This window comes from Homo sapiens, chromosome 12, assembly GCF_000001405.40.
Source record: "Homo sapiens chromosome 12, GRCh38.p14 Primary Assembly".
Taxonomy (NCBI): Eukaryota; Metazoa; Chordata; class Mammalia; order Primates; family Hominidae; genus Homo; species Homo sapiens.
In genome coordinates, this window is record NC_000012.12 from 103,994,852 (window position 1) to 104,017,408 (window position 22,557).

The window sequence follows — 22,557 nt, forward strand, 5'->3', positions numbered from 1 at the left end:
CTTAGTAAAGGCAGCTCCAACTTACATCCCAAAATTGATCCCAATCCTATCCCAAACCTGCTTCCCTGCACCTGCCCCACCTCAGTCAGTGGCAACTCTATCCTTCTAGTTACTTGGGCAAAAAACCTGGGGTCATTAGGTCCTCCTTGACTCCTTTTTTCTCACTCTCTTCTCATCCAAATATTTCAGCAAATGGTGTAGGTCCCATCTTCAAAATGCTGGAAGCCAACCACTTCTCTTGCCACTACTACCACACTGCTACCTTCCTGTTCAGGCCATAATTGCCACTCAATGGATTTCTGCAAGTTCCTCCTAACCAGTATCCTTGCTTCCACTATTTTCCACCCCACTCTGTCTCTAGGTCACTCATCTCCTCTAAGCTCCTCCAATAGCTTCCCATCTCATTCACAGAAACAGCCAGATTTCCTAAAATGGCCTGCCATACCCTATATCATCTGACCCTCCAATACCTTTCCAACTCCTGTTATTCTCCTCTTGATCCCTCAGCAACAGCGACCACCTTTAATGAACCAGACTCACCCCTGCCTCAAGATCTTTACACTTGTTCTTCCCGCTTCCTGGAGGGTTTCCCCTCTAACCATCTGCACAGGTGGTTCCCTCAATTCTTTCAAGTTTAGGTTCAAACAGCACAATCTCAGTGGAGCCTTCCCTGATTACTGTATTTAAAATACAGCCCTGCCTCCACCCCAATCCTCTGTTAAATATTTTACTTGTTTACTGTCTGTCTGTTCCCACTAGAATGTGAAATACACAAAAGCAGGAGTTTTCGTTTTGCTCACTATATTACTAGTACCTAAAACAGTGTCAGGCACAGAGTAAGCACTCAATAAGTCATTGTTGAATGAATGTTGTACAGGGCAGGACATACACATTCTTTCACCCATATAGACTGTTATCATCTATAATTCCTTAATGTGATGCTCTCAAACCTCACACAGGAGTCATGGAAATACTTGAGTACTTTCTATACACCAGGCCCTTTTCTAAGAACTTTACATGTACTACCTCATTACTCTCATGTAATAGCTTTATATGTGTTAACTAATTTAATTCTCACGATAACTACAAAGGAAGTACTATTATTACCTCTGTTTGGCAAATGAGGTAGAAACAACTGGCTAAGTAACTTGCCCGAGGTCATAAAACTACCAAGTGATAGTGCCCAGATTTTGACAAAATTGAATCTGGTCCCAGAGCCTATGCCTTGAAGTGCCTTAAAATGCCACATACATAAAATTATTTGCTAGAAGCTTTTTTGAAAAACAGCATTTAACTCTTAATAACACCTCATATTTCAAAGCTACCCCTTCGGTTTCAGCATTGCATGTAGGTTCAACTTTCCTCAGTTCCATCAGGGTAAGGAGATCTTTACCCTTAACAAAATCAATATTTTCTTCTACTGGAAGGGGGATAAAAGTGATGGTCAAAACTCTGAAAATAGAACCAATGGTTCAGCAAGTCTCTTTTACAGAAAACATCATCTCTGACAGAGAGCATGGTGATGAGCAACCTAGGTAACAATGATCATTTCTGGAGCTTTTATTTCATGCTGGACACTTGGACACCATGTTATTTCATTACTGCTCACAAAGACACAACAAAGTAGACATGATTGTTCCCATGTTTCAGGTAAGGAAGGTGGGACCTTGCAGGGCTAAAGAAAGTTGCCCCAGAGTTGGTAAGGCATGGAGCTAAGATATGAACCAAAGTCCCAGACCCCTGTACTGTTCCACCTCCCTGCAGTCCAGACTGGCCCATAAGGTTTTTGAGGTGGAGGTTACACTCATTTTGACTTGCAGAGGGGGGAGAAGGGGCCAGAGTTGTAGAGTGAAGGGAGGATTTCTGAGACAGCATATGCCCACCTGAAGTCCCACGAGTCTGTTTATGTCCTGAGCAGAGGGCAAATCGCAGTCATCTGAGAAAGCCGCCGCGTGGCCCAGGGCCAAGGTGGTGTCATACAGTTCTTGGATATCACCTGAATTTAGAAACACCACCAAGTAAAACATTATAGCATTTGTTTTTGGGCTAGATAGAGCCTTAGAGCTTAAACAGCTCTTGATTTTGCTATGGGAGAAGAGTATTGGATCCCTGATTTCAAGTGGCTTGACTATTTATTTATTAAGAGTCTTGCCTACAGATTTAGAAAGCCACTGGATGATGAGTTCAAACTGGCACTGATCTAATTTCTTTATTTCTGTTGCTAAGTAGATACCACACCAATGCGTATCCTGTTTGTAGTGGAAGAGATAGAACACAACATTTAAACACCAAAACTTAGCTCACTCCTAAGAATGTCATCCGTGACACTTTATTTCCGTACATTATAGGCATACAGGGAAAGGAAAGGCTACCAAGCTATTTATTGCTGGTTTTGACAATCAGAGTGTCAACTGGATTGTCTCAGTAAGTATCAACCCGTTTCCAAAATACTTCCACATTTACAACAATACTGTACTCACAACTTAAATAAGCAGTCAAAACTTGCTGCACAATTAGTTATTTGAAAAATGAAGAGAGACAGTTATTCTACTTATCAGCTGCTTCTTTTCCAAGTGTTCTTGGCAGTTAGCGAGAGTACCTTGTACAATTACATCATCGTCCAAATAGATGACTTTCTCGTGTTGGTGGATAAGTAGAGGGAGATAAAATCGAACAAAGTTCAGCTGTTAAAACGACAAAAGAAATGATGGTGGGGGAGAGGCATATGGCTTAGTGTCTTCTGGGGGTACTGGAGAGTCGGCTTTGACCATGGCCTCAGCTCAGCTCCAGGTTTGGAGCGGAATAAAACAGGAGCTAGCAAGATGTCTCATCTGAGCTTCCCAGTGCCCAACTTATCTGAGGCCTGGGGCTGAAGCCAGCGCTGACGGATCGGCCGTTCTCCTAGATACAAACCCCCTAGTGCCGAGGCTGTTGCCACTTTCATCTCTGCGAACTGCTGTAGTGGGAGTCACAGAGGCTCGTTAGTCACTTTTAGGGCACAAATCGCCTGCCTTTCTCTGTATTCAGTAATTTTGATAATTGTCAATTAAATCAGCCTTAAATACACACACACACACACACACACACACACACACACACACACACGTGTGTCATTCCAACAGCAAGCTCAACCTTTTAGCTCCTTGAACCAGAAAAAGGAGCAGCATGACCTGTGGGTAGGAACTTCGAAGTTTCATTACTGACAACATTGCTTCCTCCGAAGTCATGGCTTGTACTCTGACAACATCTGGAATTGGGGGAAGATCATATCACAGACAGAGGGCTCAGAATTAAGTAAATTTTCAGGGATGAATTTAAGTAACAATCATATGTAGAAGGTGGCTGCAGTTTCTGTAGAACTGCTATCAAAAACACCACTCTTTTTTTTTTTTTTCTTTTTTGAGACAGGGTCTCTCTCTGTTGCCCAGGCTGGAGTGCAGTGGCATGATCACAGCTCACTACAGCCTCGAACTCCCAGACTCAAACAATCCTCCCACCTCAGCCTCCTGAGTAGGTAGCTAGGACTACAGGGGTATGCCACCATGCCTAGCTAATTAAAAAAAAATTTTTTTTTTTGAGACGGAGTCTCACTCTGTTGCCTAGGCTGGAGTGCAATAGTGCAATCTTGGCTCACTGCAACCTCCACCTCCCGGGTTCAAGCGATTATCCTGCCTCAGACTCCCGAGTAGCCGGGGCTACAGGTGCCTGCCACCATGCCCAGCTAATTTTTGTATTTTTAGTAGAGATGGGGTTTCACTATGTTGGCCAGGCTGGTCTCGAACTCCTGACCTCACGATCCGCCTGCCTCGGCCTCCCAAAGTGTTGGGATTACAGGCATGAGCAACCACGCTTGGCCACTAAATAAAACTTTTTTAAGTATAAACAGGGTCTCAATATGTTGCCCAAGCTGGTCTCAAACTTCTGAGCTCAAGCAATCCTCCCCGCTCAGCCTCCCAAAGTGCTGGGATTACAAGCACGAGCCAGCACGTCCAGCCAAAAACACCACTTTTTATGCAGGAGAGGGTCCCTTTTGTAAGAACTCTTGCAGTAAAATACCTTAAGATTTCCAATGCTAGGAAAAGAGATGGTGTCTCCTGAATATATTATCTTAGTCAATACTATGAAGTATATAATCCATCATACTACTGTTTTTTCTTAGCTGTCGGACACTCCGAGGCAGCTTTAACGTACAATCACAGTTAAATATCCCAACAGCTGGTGGGTTTGGGACTCTTTTTCCTGGCCTCAGCTACCTGGCCCTCCTCCAGCTCCCACCCCCACAGACATATTCACACCCATAAATGCATTCTACATTTTTTTAATGCTTCACTTCTTCTTTAATAACTTCATTGTGCTTCTATAAACCATCTTAAATCCTTTCTGTAGCAGCTGGCTTATAAATTATACATAAGCGGAGTTTGGTGGAGATCAACTCCACATGGCTTCAAAAATAATATTCCACATGCATCCCGGTGACTAGCACTCCTTTACTGAACAAAGGTCTCACCAAGGACTGTCCCCAGCACCTGTGTGGTCCCTACTTACAGGCTGGAGCAATTCAGGCCTCGATGAGTCTGGTCTGATCTTCCCTTTGAGGACCATCGGGTTGAATTCCACGATTTTAAAGTTTATTTCTCTCAGTTTGGAATGTTCAATCCATTTTCTAAAAAGATGACCAAAAAAACCTCTAGTATACCCTTCAATTCTTTCCTCCATTTGCCTATTGCCCCAAGGTCAATCTGTTGCCTCCCTAGAAAGTTAAAATTAAAATGTGCGTAAATTTAGTAGAGTTTAGTCCAATAAATCCCTCTGACTTTTCTCCCCATCTGGTCTGACTTTAAATCTTTTTTTCCCCTCAATCACGTAACTCTTTCTGCAAAGGAAATGAAGCAAAATAGTAATAACCAAATCTCTCCCCAGATCCAAATAATTTCCCCAGGAAACAGGAAGAATGAAAAGTATTCTTTCTTATATAGCAGCATCTGTGGTTGCTGGTACTATCTTCGCCACGTGGTAACAGCTCTGAAATATTATGAAACAGGACATTCTGAACCTTCAGCTTTGATCGAAGTCATTTTTACTCTGCTGTTTTGACTCCAAGGCTGATTTGAATTTACCTTTGTCTCTTTGATTTGGTCCCTTGATCTTCCCCATCTGTCTTCGTTCCCCTTCTTCTCTTCCCCCTCCCTCTCCCCTTCTGTTTTCTTGGTCTTGCAGAATTTTTATCTTGTATCCAATTCATAATGAGGTTCTTGGTAGAAATAATCTCAAAATAAAATGTCGAATGACTAAAGCCACCTAGGGTAGTATTTGTTGTTGACTAAAAATCAACAAAAGAATTAAATGTGAACAAAATTTAGATCTGCAAAATCTGAAAAAATAATTGGTCATATCAATTAAAAAAAGATAGACTAACAGCAAAATAGGCAAGAGACTTGAACACTTACTTCCAAATGGTTACAAAGTGTGTGGGAAAAGTGTTCAATGACATTAGAAATAATGAAACTTCAAATTTCTAGATACCACTGGACACTAATCAAAATGGCAAACTTAAAAAGATTGATTTTATACTAAGTGTTAGTGAGAACATGCTGGATGTTACATGAGTGTGTTTACTTTGTGATGATCCAGTAAACTGCACACTGGATTTATACAATTTTCTGTTTTGGGATTCTACTTCAATGAAAAAAAAAACTTTAAAGTATGTAAAAGGGGGCAGGGAGTAGACTGGACAGCAAGAACTGGGAAATAGCCCCTGGCCAAAGTCAGAAAGTCATGAGGTTCATGCCTTTTGTTAAGGACAAACCCTTGCCCAGAAACCTTATACATGCCATCCTTTTGGATTTGGTTATCTAGTTTTCATACCCATGGATAGTTAATGGGCTGTTAACAACAGGCTAAGTGAATGATGAGCAATAGTATGATAAGGAGAGTGAGAAATGAGACAGAAAATCCAGAAAGCATACACAAGACATCAAAACCCAGGGCAGCCAAGGGCCATTTAGATTATAGGCAAACACCTTTACAGATCTCAGTACCTCCTGATGGCACCACTACAAAAACATTTAATTATAAAAGCAGTATGCAAATATATTCTCCTTTTGAATGATCAAATAATACTGAAACACCCTGAACTTCCTTTCATCAGCACCCTCCCTGATTCCTCTGTCCTCCCAAGAGATAGTGTTAACAATCTGATAGCTTTCCAGTTCTTTTTCTTCACAGAAACACATACATGTACATGTACACACTTACAGTTAGGGGTTTTGAATTTCCTAAAGTAGATCATACTATACGAGTTATACTGCAGCTAGTTTTTTCCACTTAACAATATGCCTTGGGAATCTCCTATGTCTGCTTAGACAGAGTGCCTTCTTTCGTTAACATCTGGATCATATTTCACAGTTCATTTAAATATTCTTCCATTGGTGGACATTTCAGCACTTTGAAATGTTTTCACTAATTCACATAATGCTGAAACTAGCATTGTTGTACACGTATTTTGGTAATATGTACTAGAATTTTTGTAGCACAGATTCCTGGAAGAGGAAAAGGCATGTGAATCAAATTATATATGCATACAACCTTTTGATAGATATTGCCATGTTGACCTTGCCAAATGTCTTACCAACTTAGAAAATGCACATTGTATAAATAAGGAATAAGCATGCCCATTTTCCTGCACTGGGTAATGTTGTTCTGTTTAATTTTTGCCAACCTGATGAGTGAAGATTGTCACTGAAGTGACATATATGTTTTCATTTTTATTTTCATTTTCAACAATGCAAAAATGTTTCAATTCACATTTTCCTATTAATAACACAGAAAAACTTTATTTATTTATTTTTTATTTATTATTTTTTATTTTTGGAGATGCAGTCTCACTCTGTCACCCAGGCTGAAGCGCAGTGGCACGATCTCAGCTCACTGCAACCTCCACCTCCTGGGTTTAAGCCATTCTCTGGCCTCAGCCTCCCCAGTAGCTAGGATTACAGGAATGTGCTAACATGCTCAGCAAATTTTTGTATCTTTAGTAGAGACGGGGTTTCGCCATATTGACCAGGCTGGTCTCAAATTCTTGACTTCAGGTAGGATTACAGGAGTTAGCCACTGCGCCCAGCCTTATTTATTTATTTTTAGCTGAAACAAGGTCTCACTCTGTTGCCCAGGCTGGAGTTAAGTGATGCGATCATAGCTTACAGCAGCCTCAAACTCCTGGGCTCAAGGGATCCTCCCACCTCAGCCTCCCGCTATGTATCACCACCCTCAGCTAATTTCTAAAATTTTTAGTAGAGACAGAGGTCTTGTTATGTTGCCCAGGCTGGTCTCGAGCCTGATCCCAAGTCATCCTTTTTCCTTGGCTTCCCAAAGTGTTGGAAATATAGGAGTGAGCCACCTCACCCAGCCTACAACACCTTTTCATGTTTATTGGCCATTTGTATTTTTTTCCTCTGTGAATTATCTGGTTATATCCTATGCCCATTTTTTAACCATGTTTTTAAAATTTTTGTAACAATTCTATATTTTGGATGGTAATTTTTTGTCTATAATACATGTTAAAAATACTTGGTCCTAATCTATTGTATGAATAGCTTCACTTGTATTTTTCATCATTGTAAAGTTTTTAAATGTGATGCAGTCAAATCTGTCCATTTTTCTGGATGATTTCTGGGCTCAGAGAGACACTCTCCAAACCAAGATTTTACAATTATCTTTCATTTTTATAATATGTTCAAATTTTAATTTTCTGTTTATTTTTTCTTAATCCAAAAAGAAAGGAAATCTATTTAAGGAAATATAAGAAAGTAGAGGCCAGGTGTGGTGGCTCACACCTGTAATCCCAGCATTTTGGGAGGCTGAGGAGGGAGGATTGCTTGAACCCAGGATTTCAAGACAAACCTAAGCAACAAAGAGAGACTCGCTCTCCACAAAAAAATTAGAAAATGAGCTGGGTGTGGTAGCATGCACTTGTAGTCTCAGCTACTTGGGAGGTGGAAACAGAAGGATTGCTTGAGCCAGGGAGGTCAAGGCTGCAGTGAGCTGTGATTGCGCCACCGCACAATCCAGTCTGAGCAACAGAGCAAGATCCTATCAGAAAGAAAGAGAGAAAGAGAGAAAGACAGAGAGAGAGAGAGAGACAGAAAGAGAGAGGGAGAGAAAGAGAGAAAGGGAGAGAAGGCAAGAAAGAAAGAAAAGAAGAAGAAGAGGTAGGGAGGGAGGGAGGGAGGGAAGGAGAGAGGGGAAGGAAACAGAAAGTGCCAAAGTCTGTAAGACATAACTTACCGTATTCGAGTCAGAGTATTCCGGAGTCCCACTACATAGAACAAGATGTTGGCGTCAGTGTTGCTGTAGATGCTATTGATGGCAGCCATAGTGGCACCCATCCTCCCTGCTGCAGCACAAATCACCACAGGAATCTCTTCTTCCAGTTCTTCAGGAGTCTCGGATTCATCATCTGGAAACATAAAAACTGGTGTCTTGGAACATGAAAGAATTTCACAGTAGAGCCAGTTTAATGCATCTTCCATACTCCTGGGGGAAGATGGCATAGTGTGGAAGAGACTGCTGATTGTTCTCCAATATCTAGTCATTCTGTCTTCCCTTAGAAAAGAACTTTGGAATTTTAGCTGGTACATAGCCAACCACAAAGACTATTTTACCAACTCCCGTGCAGCTCTATATGATCAAGTTCTGACCAATGGGATGTTGGTTTAAGTAATGTGTGCCACTGCTGGGTCTACCCTTCAAAGGAATGCTCACTCACCCCCTTGCCTTTCCCCTTTCCCATTAGCTGGACTGTTGATATGATGGTGGGAGTTAGAGTTGCCAGCTTAGACCACAAGATGGAAGCTACTTGTTGAGGTCACCAAAACCATAATATAGAAGGAATCTTGATCTGGATAATTGTGGAACTGATACATCAGACTTATACTTGAGAGAGGAAATAAACTTCTATTTTGTTTATGTCGCTATTGAAACCATACCCCCAAAGAGTTAAAGAAACCAATGACTAATAGAAATTCTCGAGTTTGCAGGATGATAGATTAGAAGAATAAAATGCTGAAATGATGAAACTCTTTCTGCTTCTGAGATTATATCCCTGATGAACACTGATGCAAAAATCCTCAAAAAAATACTGGCAAACTGAATCCAGCAGCACATCAAAAAGCTTATTCACCATAATCAAGTGCGCTTCATCCCTGGGATGCAAGGCTGGTTCAACATACACAAATCAATAAATGTAATCCAGCATATAAATAGAACCAAAGACAAAAACCCCATGATTATATCAATAGAAGCAGAAAAGGCCTTTGACAAAATTCGACAGCCCTTCATGCTAAAAATTCTCAATAAATTAGGCATTGATGGGACGTATCTCAAAATAATAAGACCTATTTATGACAAACCCACAGCCAATATCATACTGAATGGGCAAAAGCTGAAAGCATTCCCTTTGAAAACTGGCACAAGACAGGGATGCCCTCTCTCACCACTCCTATTCAACACAGTGTTGGAAGTTCTGGCCAGGGCAATCAGGCAGGAGAAAGAAATAAAGGGTATTCATTTAGGAAAAGAGGAAGTCAAACTGTCCCTGTTTGCAGATGACATGATTGTATATTTAGAAAACCCGACCGTCTCAGCCCATAATCTCCTCAAGCTGATAAGCAACTTCAGCAAAGTCTCAGGATATAAAATCAATGTGCAAAAATCACAAGCATTCTTATACACCAATAACAGACAAACAGAGAGCCAAATCATGAGTGAACTCCCATTCACAATTGCTTCAAAGAGAATAAAATACCTAGGAATCCAACTTACGAGAGATGTGAAGGATCTCTTCAAGGAGAACTACAAACCACTGCCTCATCGAAATAAAAGAGGACACAAACAAATGGAAGAACATTCCATGCTCATGGATAGGAAGAATCAATATCGTGAAAATGGCCACACTGCCCAAGGTAATTTATAGATTCAATGCCATCCCCATCAAGCTACCAATGACTTTCTTCACAGAATTGGAAAAAAATACTTTAAAGTTCATATGGAACCAAAAAAGAGCCCGCATCGCCAAGTCAATCCTAAGCCAAAAGAACAAAGCTGGAGGCATCACGCTACCTGACTTCAAACTATACTACAAGGCTACAGTAATCAAAATAGCATGGTACTGGTACCAAAACAGAGATATAGACCAATGGAACAGAACAGAGGCCCCAGAAATAACACCACACATCTACAACCATCTGATCTTTGACAAACCTGACAAAAACAAGAAACAGGGAAAGGACTCCCTATTTAATAAATGGTGATGGGAAAACTGGCTAGCCATATGTAGAAAGCTAAAACTGGACCCCTTCCTTACACCTTATACAAAAATTAATTCAAGATGTATTAAAGACTGAAATGTTAGACCTAAAACCATAAAAACCCTAGAAGAAAACCTAGGCAATACCATTCAGGACATAGGCATGGGCAAGGACTTCATGTCTAATACACTAAAAGCAATGGCAACAAAAGCCAAAATTGACAAATGGGATCTAATTAAACTAAAGAGCTTCTGCACGGCAAAAGAAACTACCATCAGAGTGAACAGGCAACCTACAGAATGGGAGAAAATTTTTGCAATCTACTCATCTGACAAAGGGCTAATAGCCAGAATCGACAAAGAACTCAAACAAATTTACAAGAAAAAAACAAACAACCCCATCAACAAGTGGGAGAAGGATATGAACAGACACTTCTCAAAAGAAGACATTTATGCAACCAACAGACACATGAAAAAATGCTCACCATCACTGGCCATCAGAGAAATGCAAATCAAAACCACAATGAGATACCATCTCACACCAGTTAGAATGGTGATCATTAAAAGGTCAGGAAACAACAGGTCCTGGAGAGGATGTGGAGAAATAGGAACACTTTTACACTGTTGGTGGAACTGTAAACTGGTTCAACCATTGTGGAAGACAGTGTGGTGATTCCTCAAGGATCTAGAACTAGAAATACCATTTGACCCAGCCATCCCATTACTGGGTATATACCCAGAGGATTATAAATCATGCTGCTTTAAAGACACATGCACACGTATGTTTACTGCAGCACTAATCACAATAGCAAAGACTTGGAACCAACCCAAATGTCCATCAATGATAGACTGGATTAAGAAAATGTGGCACATATACACCATGGAACACTATGCAGCCATAAAAAAGGATGAGTTCATGTCCTTTGTAGGGACATGGATGAAGCTGGAAACCATCATTCTCAGCAAACTATCGCAGGGATAAAAAACCAAACACTGCATGTTCTCATTCATAGGTGGGAATTGAACAATGAGAACACTTGGACACAGGAAGGGGAACATCACATACCAGGTGTGGGGTGGGGGGAGGGGGAAGGGATAGCATTAGGAGATATACCTGATGTAAATGACGAGTTAATGTGTACAGCACACCAACATGGCACGTGTATACATATGTAACAAACCTGCACATTGTGCACATGTACCCTAAAACTTAAAGTATAATAAATAGATAAATAAATAAATAAAAGAAACTGGCTGAAATCAGTTGGAACCAATCTGGTCAACTGAAGTTTGTGCAGAACAAGCTTGCTGATGTCACAGCTTGGATTTCCACCCTGTATTTCAAACTAACTCCTCCCAGATTTGCACATGAGACCCATGAGGTGGCATGAAGAGATAACTGTGCATGCCTCAGGACCTTTTAGACCTCCTCTCCTCTTCCATCAATCACCTACTAATCCCAGAATCCACCCCTGAGCCTTTTCTAATAAAATTACTGCCTTAAAGCCAGCACAGGGAGACAGATTTGAGCTGGGCTCCTGTGTCCTTGTTAGACGATTTACAAGAAAAAGCTTTGCTTTTCTCAAAATCTGGGGTCATAGTGTTGGATTCTAGCACATAAGGCTGTGAGCCCTTTTGATCATAACACAAAATCTATTATTTTGGAGCTATCTTACAGGAGCCAGTTGGCTAGCCTAAAACACACACACACTTAAAAAACATACAAAGAACTGAAAAGCCTCATTTGTCCAACAGTCCTCAACTCTTCCCTGAATCAGAATATTTACTTTGCCTACACTGCTATAAGATACTGGTTGTGATTTTCCCTCTCCTATCCCCATTCTAGTCAAGTTTCTCAAACGTTGACAGCAAGAGGAAGGAGGTAAATGAAAGAACATGACTAATGCACAAGATAAATAATTAATTATTCTTTTGAGCCTGGCTATGCTATAAAATACCAAAGCCATAACATCATACTTTAGTACCGCAATACAACTTTCAGCCATGGAGAAGAATAATGATCCATAAGCAGAGTATTCAGTATCCACTATAAAGTACTCATCTGATTTATACTTAAAGCTCTCTCTCTCTCTCTCTCTCTCTCTCTCTCTCCCCCCGCTCTCTCCACCTGCTCTCTCCCCCTCCCCCTTCTCTTTCCAGATCCTTTTTGGAAAACCTCTATCCCTGAGGTCCAGGGTAGTTCTAGCTGATATTTCATTCAATAAGCATTTCTTGAAATTAACTACCAGGTACTGCATTTTGTGTAATTTAAGACACATTGAATGGCCTCCTCTTTCTCCTTCTATGTCTTTTCTACCAGCTTGCTACTGCATCTGAAATTTCCACCACTAGAATAATTTTGTTTTCACAATATATTTACTGACATGAGAGAATGCTCATAAAACACTGTTAAGGAGGAAAAGAATACAAAATTCTCTCTAGTATTTGATCACTATTTGATACATACATATTTGCAAATGGACCTATGTCTATTTATGGAATTAGGAGTGATTTTGATTTTATTTGTATTTCTTATACTTTCCAAATTGACTAAAGTAACCATGATATGGTATGGCTCTGTGTCCTCACCAAAATCTCATCATGAATTATACTCCCATAATTCCCACATGTTGTGGGAGGGACCCAGTGGGAGATAATCTGAATCATGGGGGTGGTTTTCCCCATACTGTTCTCATGGTAGTGAATAAGTCTCATGAGATCTGGTAGTTTTATCAGGGGTTTCTGCTTTTGCATCTCTCACTTTCTCTTGCTGCTGCCATGTAAGAAGTGCCTTTCGCCTCCTGCCATGATTCTGAGGCTTCTCCAGCCATGTGGAACTGTAAGTCCGATTAAAACTCTTTTTCTTCCCAGTCTCAGGTATGTCTTTATCAGCAGCATGAAAACGGACTAATACAGTAAATTGGTACCAGTAGAGTGGGACGTTGTTGAAAAGATACCAACAAATATGGAAGCAACTTTGGAACTGGGTGACAAACAGAGGTTGGAAGAGTTTGGAGGGGTCAGAAGAAGACAGGAAAATGTAGGAAAGGTTGGAACTTCCTAGAGACTTGTTGAATGGCTTTGACCAAAAGCCAGTTAGAGACATGGACAATAAGGTTCAGGGTGAGGTGGCCTCAGATGTAGATGAGGAACTTGTTGGGAACTGGAACAAAGGTGACTTTTGTTATGTTTTAGCAAAAAGACCAGGGGCATTTTGCCCTGCCCTAGGGATTTGTGGAACTTTGAACTTGAGAGAGATAATTTAGGATATCTGGCAGAAGAAATTTCTAAGCAGCAAAGCATTCAAGAGGTGGCTTGGGTGCTGTTAAAGGCATTCAGTTTTATAAGGGAAGCAGAGCATAAGAGTTCAGAAAATTTGCAGCCTGACAATGTGATAGAAAAAAAAAATAACATTTTCTAAGGAAAAATTCAAGCTGGCTGCAGAAATTTGCATAAGTAACAAGGAGCCAAACATTAATCCCCAAGACAATGGGGAAAATGTCTCCAGGGCATATCAGAGGGCTTCACAGCTGCCCCTGCCATCACAGGCCCGGAGGCCTAGGAGAAAATGGTTTTGTGGTCTGGGCCCAGGGTCCTGTGCTGCATGCAGCCTAGGGACGTGGTGCCCTGTGTCCCAGCCACTCCAGCCATGGCTGAAAGGGGCCAACATAGGGCTTGCGCCATGGCTTCAGAGGGTGCAAGCCCCAAGCCTTGGCAGCTTCCACGTGGTGTTGAGCCTGTGAGTGCACAGAAGTAAAAAATTGGGGTTTGGGAACCTCCACCTACATTTCAGAAGATGTATGGAAATGTCTGGATGCCCAGGCAGAAGTTTGCTGCAGGGGCGGGGGCCTCATGGAGGACCTCTGCTAGGGCAGTGCAGAAGGGAAATGTGGGGTCAGAGCCCCCACGCAGAGTCCCTACTGGGGCACTGCCTAGTGGAGCTGTGAGAAGAGGGCCACCATCCTCCAGACCCCAGAATGGTAGATCCACTGACAGCTTGCACCGTTGCTGGAAAAGCTACAGACACTCAATGCCAGCCCATGAAAGCAGCTGGGAGGGAGGCTGTATCCTGCAAAGCCACAGGGTAGAGCTGCCCAAGACCATGGGAACCCACGTCTTGCATCAGCATGACCTGGATGCGAGACCTGGAGTCAAAGGAGATCATTTTGGAGCTTTAAAATTTGACTGCCCCGCTGGATTTTGGACAAGCACAGGGGTAACCCCTTTGTTTTGGCCAATTTCTCCCATTTGGAATGGCTGTATTTACCAAATACCTGTACCCCCACTGTATCTAGGAAGAGGAAGTAACTAGCTTGCTTTTGATTTTACAGGCTCATAGGCAGAAGGAACTTGCCTTGTTTCAGATGGGACTTTGGATTGTGGAGTTTTGAGTTAATGCTGAAATGAGTCAAGACTTTGGGGGACTGTTGAGAAGGCATGATTGGTTTTGAAATGTGAGGACATGAGATTTGGAGGGACCAGGGGCAGAATGATATGGTTTGGCTCTGTGTCCCCACCCAAATCTCATCTTGAATTGTACTCCCATATTTCCCACATGTTGTGGGAGGGACCCAGTGGGAGATGATGTGAATCATGGGGATGGTTTCTCCCATACTGTTCTCATGGTAGTGAATAAGTCTCATGAGATCTGATGGTTTTATCAAGGATTTTCACTTTTGTATCTCTCATTTTCTTTTGCTGCTGCCATGTAAGAAGTGCCTTTCACCTCCCACATGATTCTGAGGCCTCCCCAGCCATGTGGAACTGTAAGTCCAATTAAACCTCTTTTTTTCCTCAGTCTTAGGTATGTCTTTATCAGCAGCATGAAAACGGACTAATACAAACCATGAATTATTTTTATAAACAAACCAAAAAAAAAGTTTCTTAAGGATTATTCCTTTTGGACTAAGTTGTAATCTTATGGAGGTATCATGTGATATGTTACCTGCTGGCTGTGAACTGATCTGCCAAAAAATGAGAATTTGACGTTTCTTTGCTGCTGAAAGTTCCTCATTGGTTCCTAAAAGGTAAAGCCACATTTCTTTGCCTGGCACACAAGACCCCTCATGATCCAGCCCCTGCTCACTTCTCCAGCCTCACCTCCTTCTATTTTAGCAACACCAAAGCCCTCGTGGTTCCCTGAACACTACTCTTATCTCAGTGCCTTTGCACATGATGTTCCTTCCCAATGCCTGGAATGATTTCAATATCCTTTTCTGCATGGCTAACCCTTACATATTCATTCCAAATGCAGTACTGACATCAGATCCTCTGGGAAGCCTTTAATACCTCCCTACACATAAATTAACACGCACCTTCTCTATGCTGTGGCCTTGCCTATGGTTGAATTTATTAATTGCGTTGGAATTTATTTGGTTGCATGTCTTTCCTCTTTCTCCTATTACACTAGGAGCTCTGTGAGGGCAGGTATTTTGTTCATCTCTGTATCCTCTGCAGCTGTCCCAGTGCCTGGCACATAGTAGATTTTCAATACGATCTGAATAGATGGGTGAATATTAGATATCTCTATTTGAGCACTTGCCACAATGCCTGGAAGAATCTATTTATGTGTCTGTCTCCTCCACTAGACTGTAAGCTCATTATATTATCCCCACTGAGTCTGGCACTTTGGAAGTGCTTAATGAAAGTTTGCTGGAATGAACTAAATGGAATTGATGAATGAGTCTCAGAAAACAGGGCCCTTGAGGAATAAGAGGGAAGGGTAAAAAAGCTGGGGCTGTGCCTGGCTGCCAGAGTCAGACGGAGGCCTTCAGCAGACTGTGGGAAGCACAAGGTAAAAGGAAAGTGTCCTCATAAAAGAGGGGACACTCCAGAAAAAGGTCAAACATTGAGTGTCCAGCTCTGCTGCCAACACATGACACTGCCACACTCCTTAGGGGCCTCTGCCAGGTAGAGAAACTGAGCACTAACTTAAGCCAAAAATACTGCTCTCTGCCAAAAAGTTCCCCCTGGACAGAATGAAGGACAAATGCACACTGGAGAAATGTGGCAGAAAGGCTTATCAACTGTACCTTCTTCATCAATGCTCCATCCTTGCAGTTTCTTTAGGAATTATCTGCTCCATTATTTGGATTCATTGTACCAACTGGTGCCTGAGCCAAAGCATTAAAATGTTGGCTATGGGAAACTATTTGGTGCCTAACAAAAATAGTAAACATCACAATGCTGGCAGAATGGAACAGAAATGATACTGCCTTCGTCCATTCCATAAGCAGCTCTGATCAAGCCACGCCTATTCCTAGAAGAAAGGAAATGTCTGCTTTCCTAATGCCATGACTCAGAATTCCATTTCAAATAAGGATTGTTTTAGCCAAGTGTATCAGCTTACCTCTCCCCAAGTGGGACAGCTGCGAGTGACCAGCACACTAGTCACAAGAGAAGTATCGGGAGATTACATGGAGTGTCACAATGGGGATATTACAGAGAATACCGCCATGTTTTACTTGAACGTAGGACTTCACAGGGCCTCTGGACATCAACTTAGAACACTAGTTCTTTGAATTAATGTTTTTCAAATTATAAAAAATAATACATAATTATTGAAAAAATTTCAGCCCAAACAGAAGAGTATTTGGTAAATTGTGACTGTTTTCTGCAGACCTCTCACTCCCACTCCAAAAGTAGACCTCTGCTTTATAACAATATATAACACAACCAGTGTGGTGTGTGCCCCTTAAACCCTTCTTAATGGTAATACTAAAGAATATATACCTGGGCCGGGCGCAGTGGCTCACATCTGTAATCCCAGCACTTTGGGACACTAAGGTGGGCAGATCATCTGAGGTCAGGCGTTTGAGACCAGCTTGACCAACATGGAGAAACCCCATCTCTCCTAAAAATACAAAATTAGCCAGGCATGGTGGCGCATGCCTGTAATCCCAGCCACTCGGGAGGCTGAGGCAGGAGAATCACTTGAACCCAGAGGCAGAGGTAGTGGTGAGCCGAGATGGCACCATTGCACTCCAGCCTGGGCAACAAGAGCGAAACTCTGTCTCAAAAAAAAAAAAAAAAAAAATATATATATATATATATATATACCTTAAACACTTATTATTTAAAAACCAAAATGGAATCATACTTTTCAGTCTCTTCTGCAACTTGCTTTTCCCATTTAACATACCACAAGCATTCTTCCATGCCAATGCTACATTCGTTTGAATGGTATTTTATAACATCGATTTTAAAAAATTTTAACACTGAATGGATAAACATGTGATAATGGATCCATTCATGCGGTCCAAATGCTTTGTTTCTCTGTATAGGTCTGATTAGGCAGTCAGGATGTGCATTTCTTTGGAGCTGTTTTAACAGCTGTTTTAAAACCTATCCACTTATTTTCCTGAAGAAGGGAGTCTGTGGTGGGATTAGCTGAGTGAATGTGTTGGTTTATGAGCAGGGATTGAAGCATGAAGAGTGGAGTCAGTTCAGATGACATTTGTCTTTATGTGACTTCCTTCTCTCTCTCTCTCTTTTAGAACAGTTTATTGAGGTGTAGATACTGCTATGGACTGAATTGTGTCCTCCAGAGTCCGTTTGTTAACGTCTTAGCTTCCAGCATCTCAGGATGTCCATGCACTTAATTGCCTTTAAAAAGGCAAATAAGTTAAAATGAAGCCATTTGGTAGGCCTTATCCCAGTAAGACTGGTATCCTAATAAAAGGAGGAAAAGAGGAGAATCACACAGAGGGTCACAGCCAGGAATGCAGCACAGAGAAAAGGCCACGTGAGGACACAGCAAGAAGGCGGCCATCTGCATGCCAAGGAGAGAGGCCTCAGGAGAAACAAAACCTGCTCACACCTTGATCCTGGACTTCCAGCCTCCAGAACCAGAGAAAATACATTTCTATGGTCTAGCCACCTAGTCTGTGCTATTTTGTTATGGCAGCCCAAGCAAACGAATACAGATTTTTAAAAATTTACCCATTGTAAGCGTACAGTACAATGATGTTTAGTAAATTTATAGAATTGCACAACCATCACCAAGATCCAATTTTAGAAAGTTCCATTGAGCTGCCTGGTCTGCAGTCAGTCCATTCCCACTCCCAGCTCTAGGCAACCACTGATCTGCTCTGTGTCTCCATAGATTTTCCTTTTCTAGAAATTTCATATAGATGGAATCATACAATATATGGTCTTTCAGGTCTGACTTCTTTTATTTAGCATAGTTTTTTTTCAGGTTCATCCATATTGCAGCTTGTATCAGTCATTTGTTCCTTTTTACTGTCGAAAAGTATTTCATTGTGTGAGATAAATTACATTTTTTGTATCCCTCACGAGTTGATGTACATGTGAATTGTTTCCAGTTTGGGGCTACTATGAATTATACCCTAAGAACATTTGTATATATGTCTTTGTATGAAAATCATTCTCTTTGCAGATTCCATGTTCATTTAGATCAGATTATACATGTTTTTAATTATTTTTAAATGAATTTTTAAATTACAAAATATAATCAGAAAGAAATGCCAGCTTCCTGGGAATAGGGATATTGTTTTGTTCACTGTTGTGTTTCCAGTCCCTAAGTGTCTGACTGAAAAAAAAAACAAAACTGTGGAATAAATGTATGTAACACACCAAATAACTGTATTCAGAGTCTCACTCTGTCATCCAAGCTGGAGTGCAGTGGCACTATCAGGGCTCACTGCTGCTTAGACCTCCTAGGCTCAAGTGATCCTCTCATTCCAGCTCCCAAGTAGCTGGGACTATAGGCATGCCCCACCATGCCCAGGTAATTTTTTGTGTGCATGCAGATGGGGTCTTGCTTTGTTGCCTAGGCTGGGCTGGTCTCAAACACCTGGACTCAAGTGATCCTCCCGCCTCAGCCTCCCAAAGTGCTGGATTACAAGTATGAGCCACCATCGCCAGCCCGTAAGTGTGTATTTGCTTGATTTATATAAAAAGTAAATTAGCTGGGCATGGAGCTCATGCCTGTAATCCCAGCACTTTGGGAGGCCAAGGTAGGAGGACAGCTTGAGCCCAGGAGTTCAAGATGAACCTGAGCAGCATGGCAAAACCCATTTCTACAAAAAATTAGCTGGGCGTGGTGGCACACACCTGTAGTTCCAACTTCCTGGGGTGCTGAGGCCGGAGGATTGCTTGAGCCCTGGAGGTCGAGGCTGCAGGGAGCTGCTATTGTGCCACTGTATTTGAGCTGGGGCAACAGAGTGAGATTCTGTCTCAAAAAAAAAAGTAAATTAATTAAAAATGTAATAAACAGTGCTTCCTGATTTTTATGGAGGTTGACTTTGTGTGTGCATTGGAGTTTTGAAGGTGCCATCTCAGGCAATTCACCCCCGAGGAGGGAAACATGGTTCTCAGTGCAGCTGGGAGAGACCACAGGGCCAATGAAGGGCCATTTTCAAGTTGAGAGTTATGAGGCTGACTTGCACTGATGGGAATGAACCAGCAGGGAGAGGAGAAAGAGGGTGGTTTCCATAAGCAAAGTCATTGAGAAGCTCCAAAGAGATGGAGTGTGGAGCAGTGCACTCACCCTGTGGTCCAAGAACCTACAGCATCAGCCTCAACCAGGAGCTTATCGGAAATGCAAGTCTTGAGGCCCCACACCATACCTACTGATCCTACACCTCACGGGTGGGCCCAGTGCTGTGTTTTAACAAGCTCTCCATGTGACTCTCACACATGCTAAAGTTTGAATAGCACCGACCATCCTAGGGCACGACTGAAAAGGTGGTCTAGGGCGGATATTCTACTAGCAGGTCCTTGGGAGTTGACCAAACTGTCACTTGTCCCTGAACCCAGCTATTGAAAGGACCTAGAGGAACATATTCAAACCACATTCCTGGGTATCCCAACTCAATGAATTCCATGTCTGCTCACCTGCGTCATTCTTGGGCACAGTCCCCTTATGAACTTTCTTATACAGAATCACACAGAGGGTCACGATCAGAAGGAACAGCAGCACCTGATTAACTGAAATAGAAATGGAAACACATTAACATTGAACCTATGAACCTGAAATCACGTGACAAAGTTTAGAATGGTAGTGCGAGTAGGTGCCTTCCATGACACAGAGGAGTGGTATCTGAGACCTTTCTATAAGCAGACAGCATATAGAATAAAGAATTAACCTGGCCAGGTGTGGTAGCTCATGCCTGTAATCCCAGTACTTTGGGAGGCCAAGGCAGGTGGATCACCTGAGCTCAGGAGTTTCGAGACCAGCCTGGGCAACAGAGTGGGACCCTGTCTCAACAACAACAAACACACACACACACACACACACACACACACACACACACACACAAATTAGCTGGGCGTGGTGGCATGCACCTGTAGTCTCAGCTACTAAGGAGGCTGAGATAGGAGGATGGCTTGAGCCTGGGAGGTGGAGGCTGCAGTGAGCCAAAATTACTCCAGCCTGGGTGACAGAGCCAGACCCTGTCTCAAATACAAAAACAAACAAACAGAAAGAATTAACCTGGAACACTATTGTTGCTCAGGGGTCTTGCATCTTTACTGAATTTGTATATCAGTTCTAATAGTTTTTTGCTGGAGTCTTTAGAATTTTCCAAATATAAGATTATATTGGCCAGTTGTAGTGGCTCACACCTGTAATCCCAGCACTTTGGGAGGCTGAGGTGGGCAGATCACATGAGGCCAGGAGTTCAAGGCCAGCCTGGGCAATATGGTGAAACCCTATCTCTACTAAATTATACAAAAATTAGCTGGGCGTGATGGTGCATGCCTGTAATCCCAGCTATTTGGGAGGCTGAGGCATGAGAATTGCTTGAACCTGGGAGGTGGAGGTTGCAGTGAGCCAAGATCACACCACTGGGCAATAGAGCAAGACCTTCCTTCCAAAACAAAACAAAACAAAAACGTATCATCTGCAAACAGGATAATTTGAGTTCTTCCTTTCCAATTTGGATGCCCTTTATTTTTTTTGCTTGTCTGATTGCTCTAGCTAGGGCTTCCACTACTATGTTGAATAACAGTGGTGAAACGCAGCCATCCTTGTCGTGTTCCAGATGTAAGAGGAAAGGCTTTCAGTTTTTCCCCATTTAGTATGATACTAGCTGTGGGTCTGCCGTATGTGGCTTTTATTTTGTTGAATTTATGTGATTCTTCTTATGAGCCAGTAGTAATTATAAATACATGTTCTTAGCCATTATGACACAGCTGCTTTTCAGTTAATTCAACCCTTGGTCAAGGATGATGTGCAGGCCGGGTGTGGTGGCTCACACCTGTAATCCCAGCACTTTGGGAGGCCAAGGCAGGTGGATCACTGGAGGCCAGGAGTTTGAGACCAGCCTGGCCAACATAGCAAAACCCCATCTCTACTAAAAATACAAAAATTAGCCAGGTGTTGCGCATGCCTGTAGTCCCAGCTATTCAGGAGGTTGAGGCAAGAGAATCACTTAAACCTGGGAGGCAGAGGTTGCAGTGAGCCGAGATCATGCCACTGCACTCCAGTCTGGGTGACAAAGGGAGACTCTGTCAAAAAAGAAAGAAGGAGAGAAAGAAAGAAAGAAAGAGAGAGAGAGAGAAAGAAAAGAAAGAAAGAAAGAAAGGGAGAGAGAAAGAAAGAAAGAAAGAAAGAAAGAAAGAAAGAAAGAAAGAAAGAAAGAAAGAAAGAAAGAAAGAAGGAAGGAAGGAAGGAAGGAAGGAAGGAAGGAAAGAAAGAAAGAGAAAGAAAAGAAAGAAAGAAAGAAAGAAAGAAAGAAAGAAAGAAAGAAAGAAAGAAAGAAAGAAAAATAAAGAGAGAAAGAAAGAAAGGAAGAAAGAAAGAAATTCTTGCCCTGGTAAACAGAAGACCTCAATGCCTCCAAGCCTCCAGCTCTGTTTGTTCCAGTGATGTTGGCCCTTGAGATCTGTTGAGAAGTAGAGTGGTGTAAAACAGTGTTTTCTTGAGTATGGAACATATAGCACTGGTTGTGCATGAAATGACTGAGGAAGTTCATGTTCATAGCATTAATATTTAATCAGCATATGAGAAAGTCAATCTTTCTGATTTTATGTGCAGGAACACAACAAAAGCTACCCAGAGTTGAATCACATTCTCCTAATTGTATATGTGTTTAAAGCTACCTTTTTTTTTTAATGATAGGAAATCATTCTGTTTTCATTTGCAGTAAGGATAAAAACTTTCTATTATGAAGTACACTTATAAATTTTTAAAATTAGTCAAAGAAAACAAAATTGGTTTTGAGATGGAGTTTCACTCTTGTTGTCCAGGCTGGAGTGCAATGGCACAGCCTTGGCTCACTGCAACCTCT

At 41.9% G+C, this 22,557-nt stretch overlaps 1 protein-coding gene across 18 annotated transcripts in view, besides 2 other annotated features; it reads right to left on the reverse strand.

Moving 5' to 3' along the window:
* Positions 1-22,557, reverse strand: part of GLT8D2 (glycosyltransferase 8 domain containing 2) — a 75,451-nt gene that overhangs the window by 5,865 nt on the left and 47,029 nt on the right. For 17 of the 18 annotated variants that reach the window (NM_001384713.1, NM_001384719.1, NM_001384718.1 and 14 more), the window contains 5 exons: positions 20,162-20,254; positions 8,284-8,455; positions 4,546-4,663; positions 2,600-2,684; positions 1,884-1,996 (listed from right to left, as the gene is read on the reverse strand). In NM_001384713.1, coding sequence (NP_001371642.1) covers positions 1,884-1,996; positions 2,600-2,684; positions 4,546-4,663; positions 8,284-8,455; positions 20,162-20,254 — 581 coding nt within the window. Of the gene's footprint in view, positions 1-1,883; positions 1,997-2,599; positions 2,685-4,545; positions 4,664-8,283; positions 8,471-20,161; positions 20,255-22,557 lie in introns of all 18 variants that reach the window. The other variant, NM_001384712.1, reaches the window with a different exon arrangement.
* Positions 2,327-2,496: an enhancer, noted in NCBI's record as "experimental_23681 CRE fragment used in MPRA reporter constructs". NCBI's record gives its function as "activates a minimal promoter by MPRAs in K562 erythroleukemia cells, with activity observed for the non-introgressed 12:104391041 variant allele {active_cell/tissue: K562}" and the evidence as "EXISTENCE:reporter gene assay evidence [ECO:0000049][PMID:34662402]".
* Positions 19,516-19,738: a silencer, noted in NCBI's record as "fragment chr12:104408145-104408367 (GRCh37/hg19 assembly coordinates)". NCBI's record gives its function as "represses an EF-1alpha promoter that drives an FKBP-Casp9 reporter gene in an ReSE screen in phorbol 12-myristate 13-acetate-treated (for megakaryocytic differentiation) K562 erythroleukemia cells {active_cell/tissue: K562(+PMA)}" and the evidence as "EXISTENCE:reporter gene assay evidence [ECO:0000049][PMID:32094911]".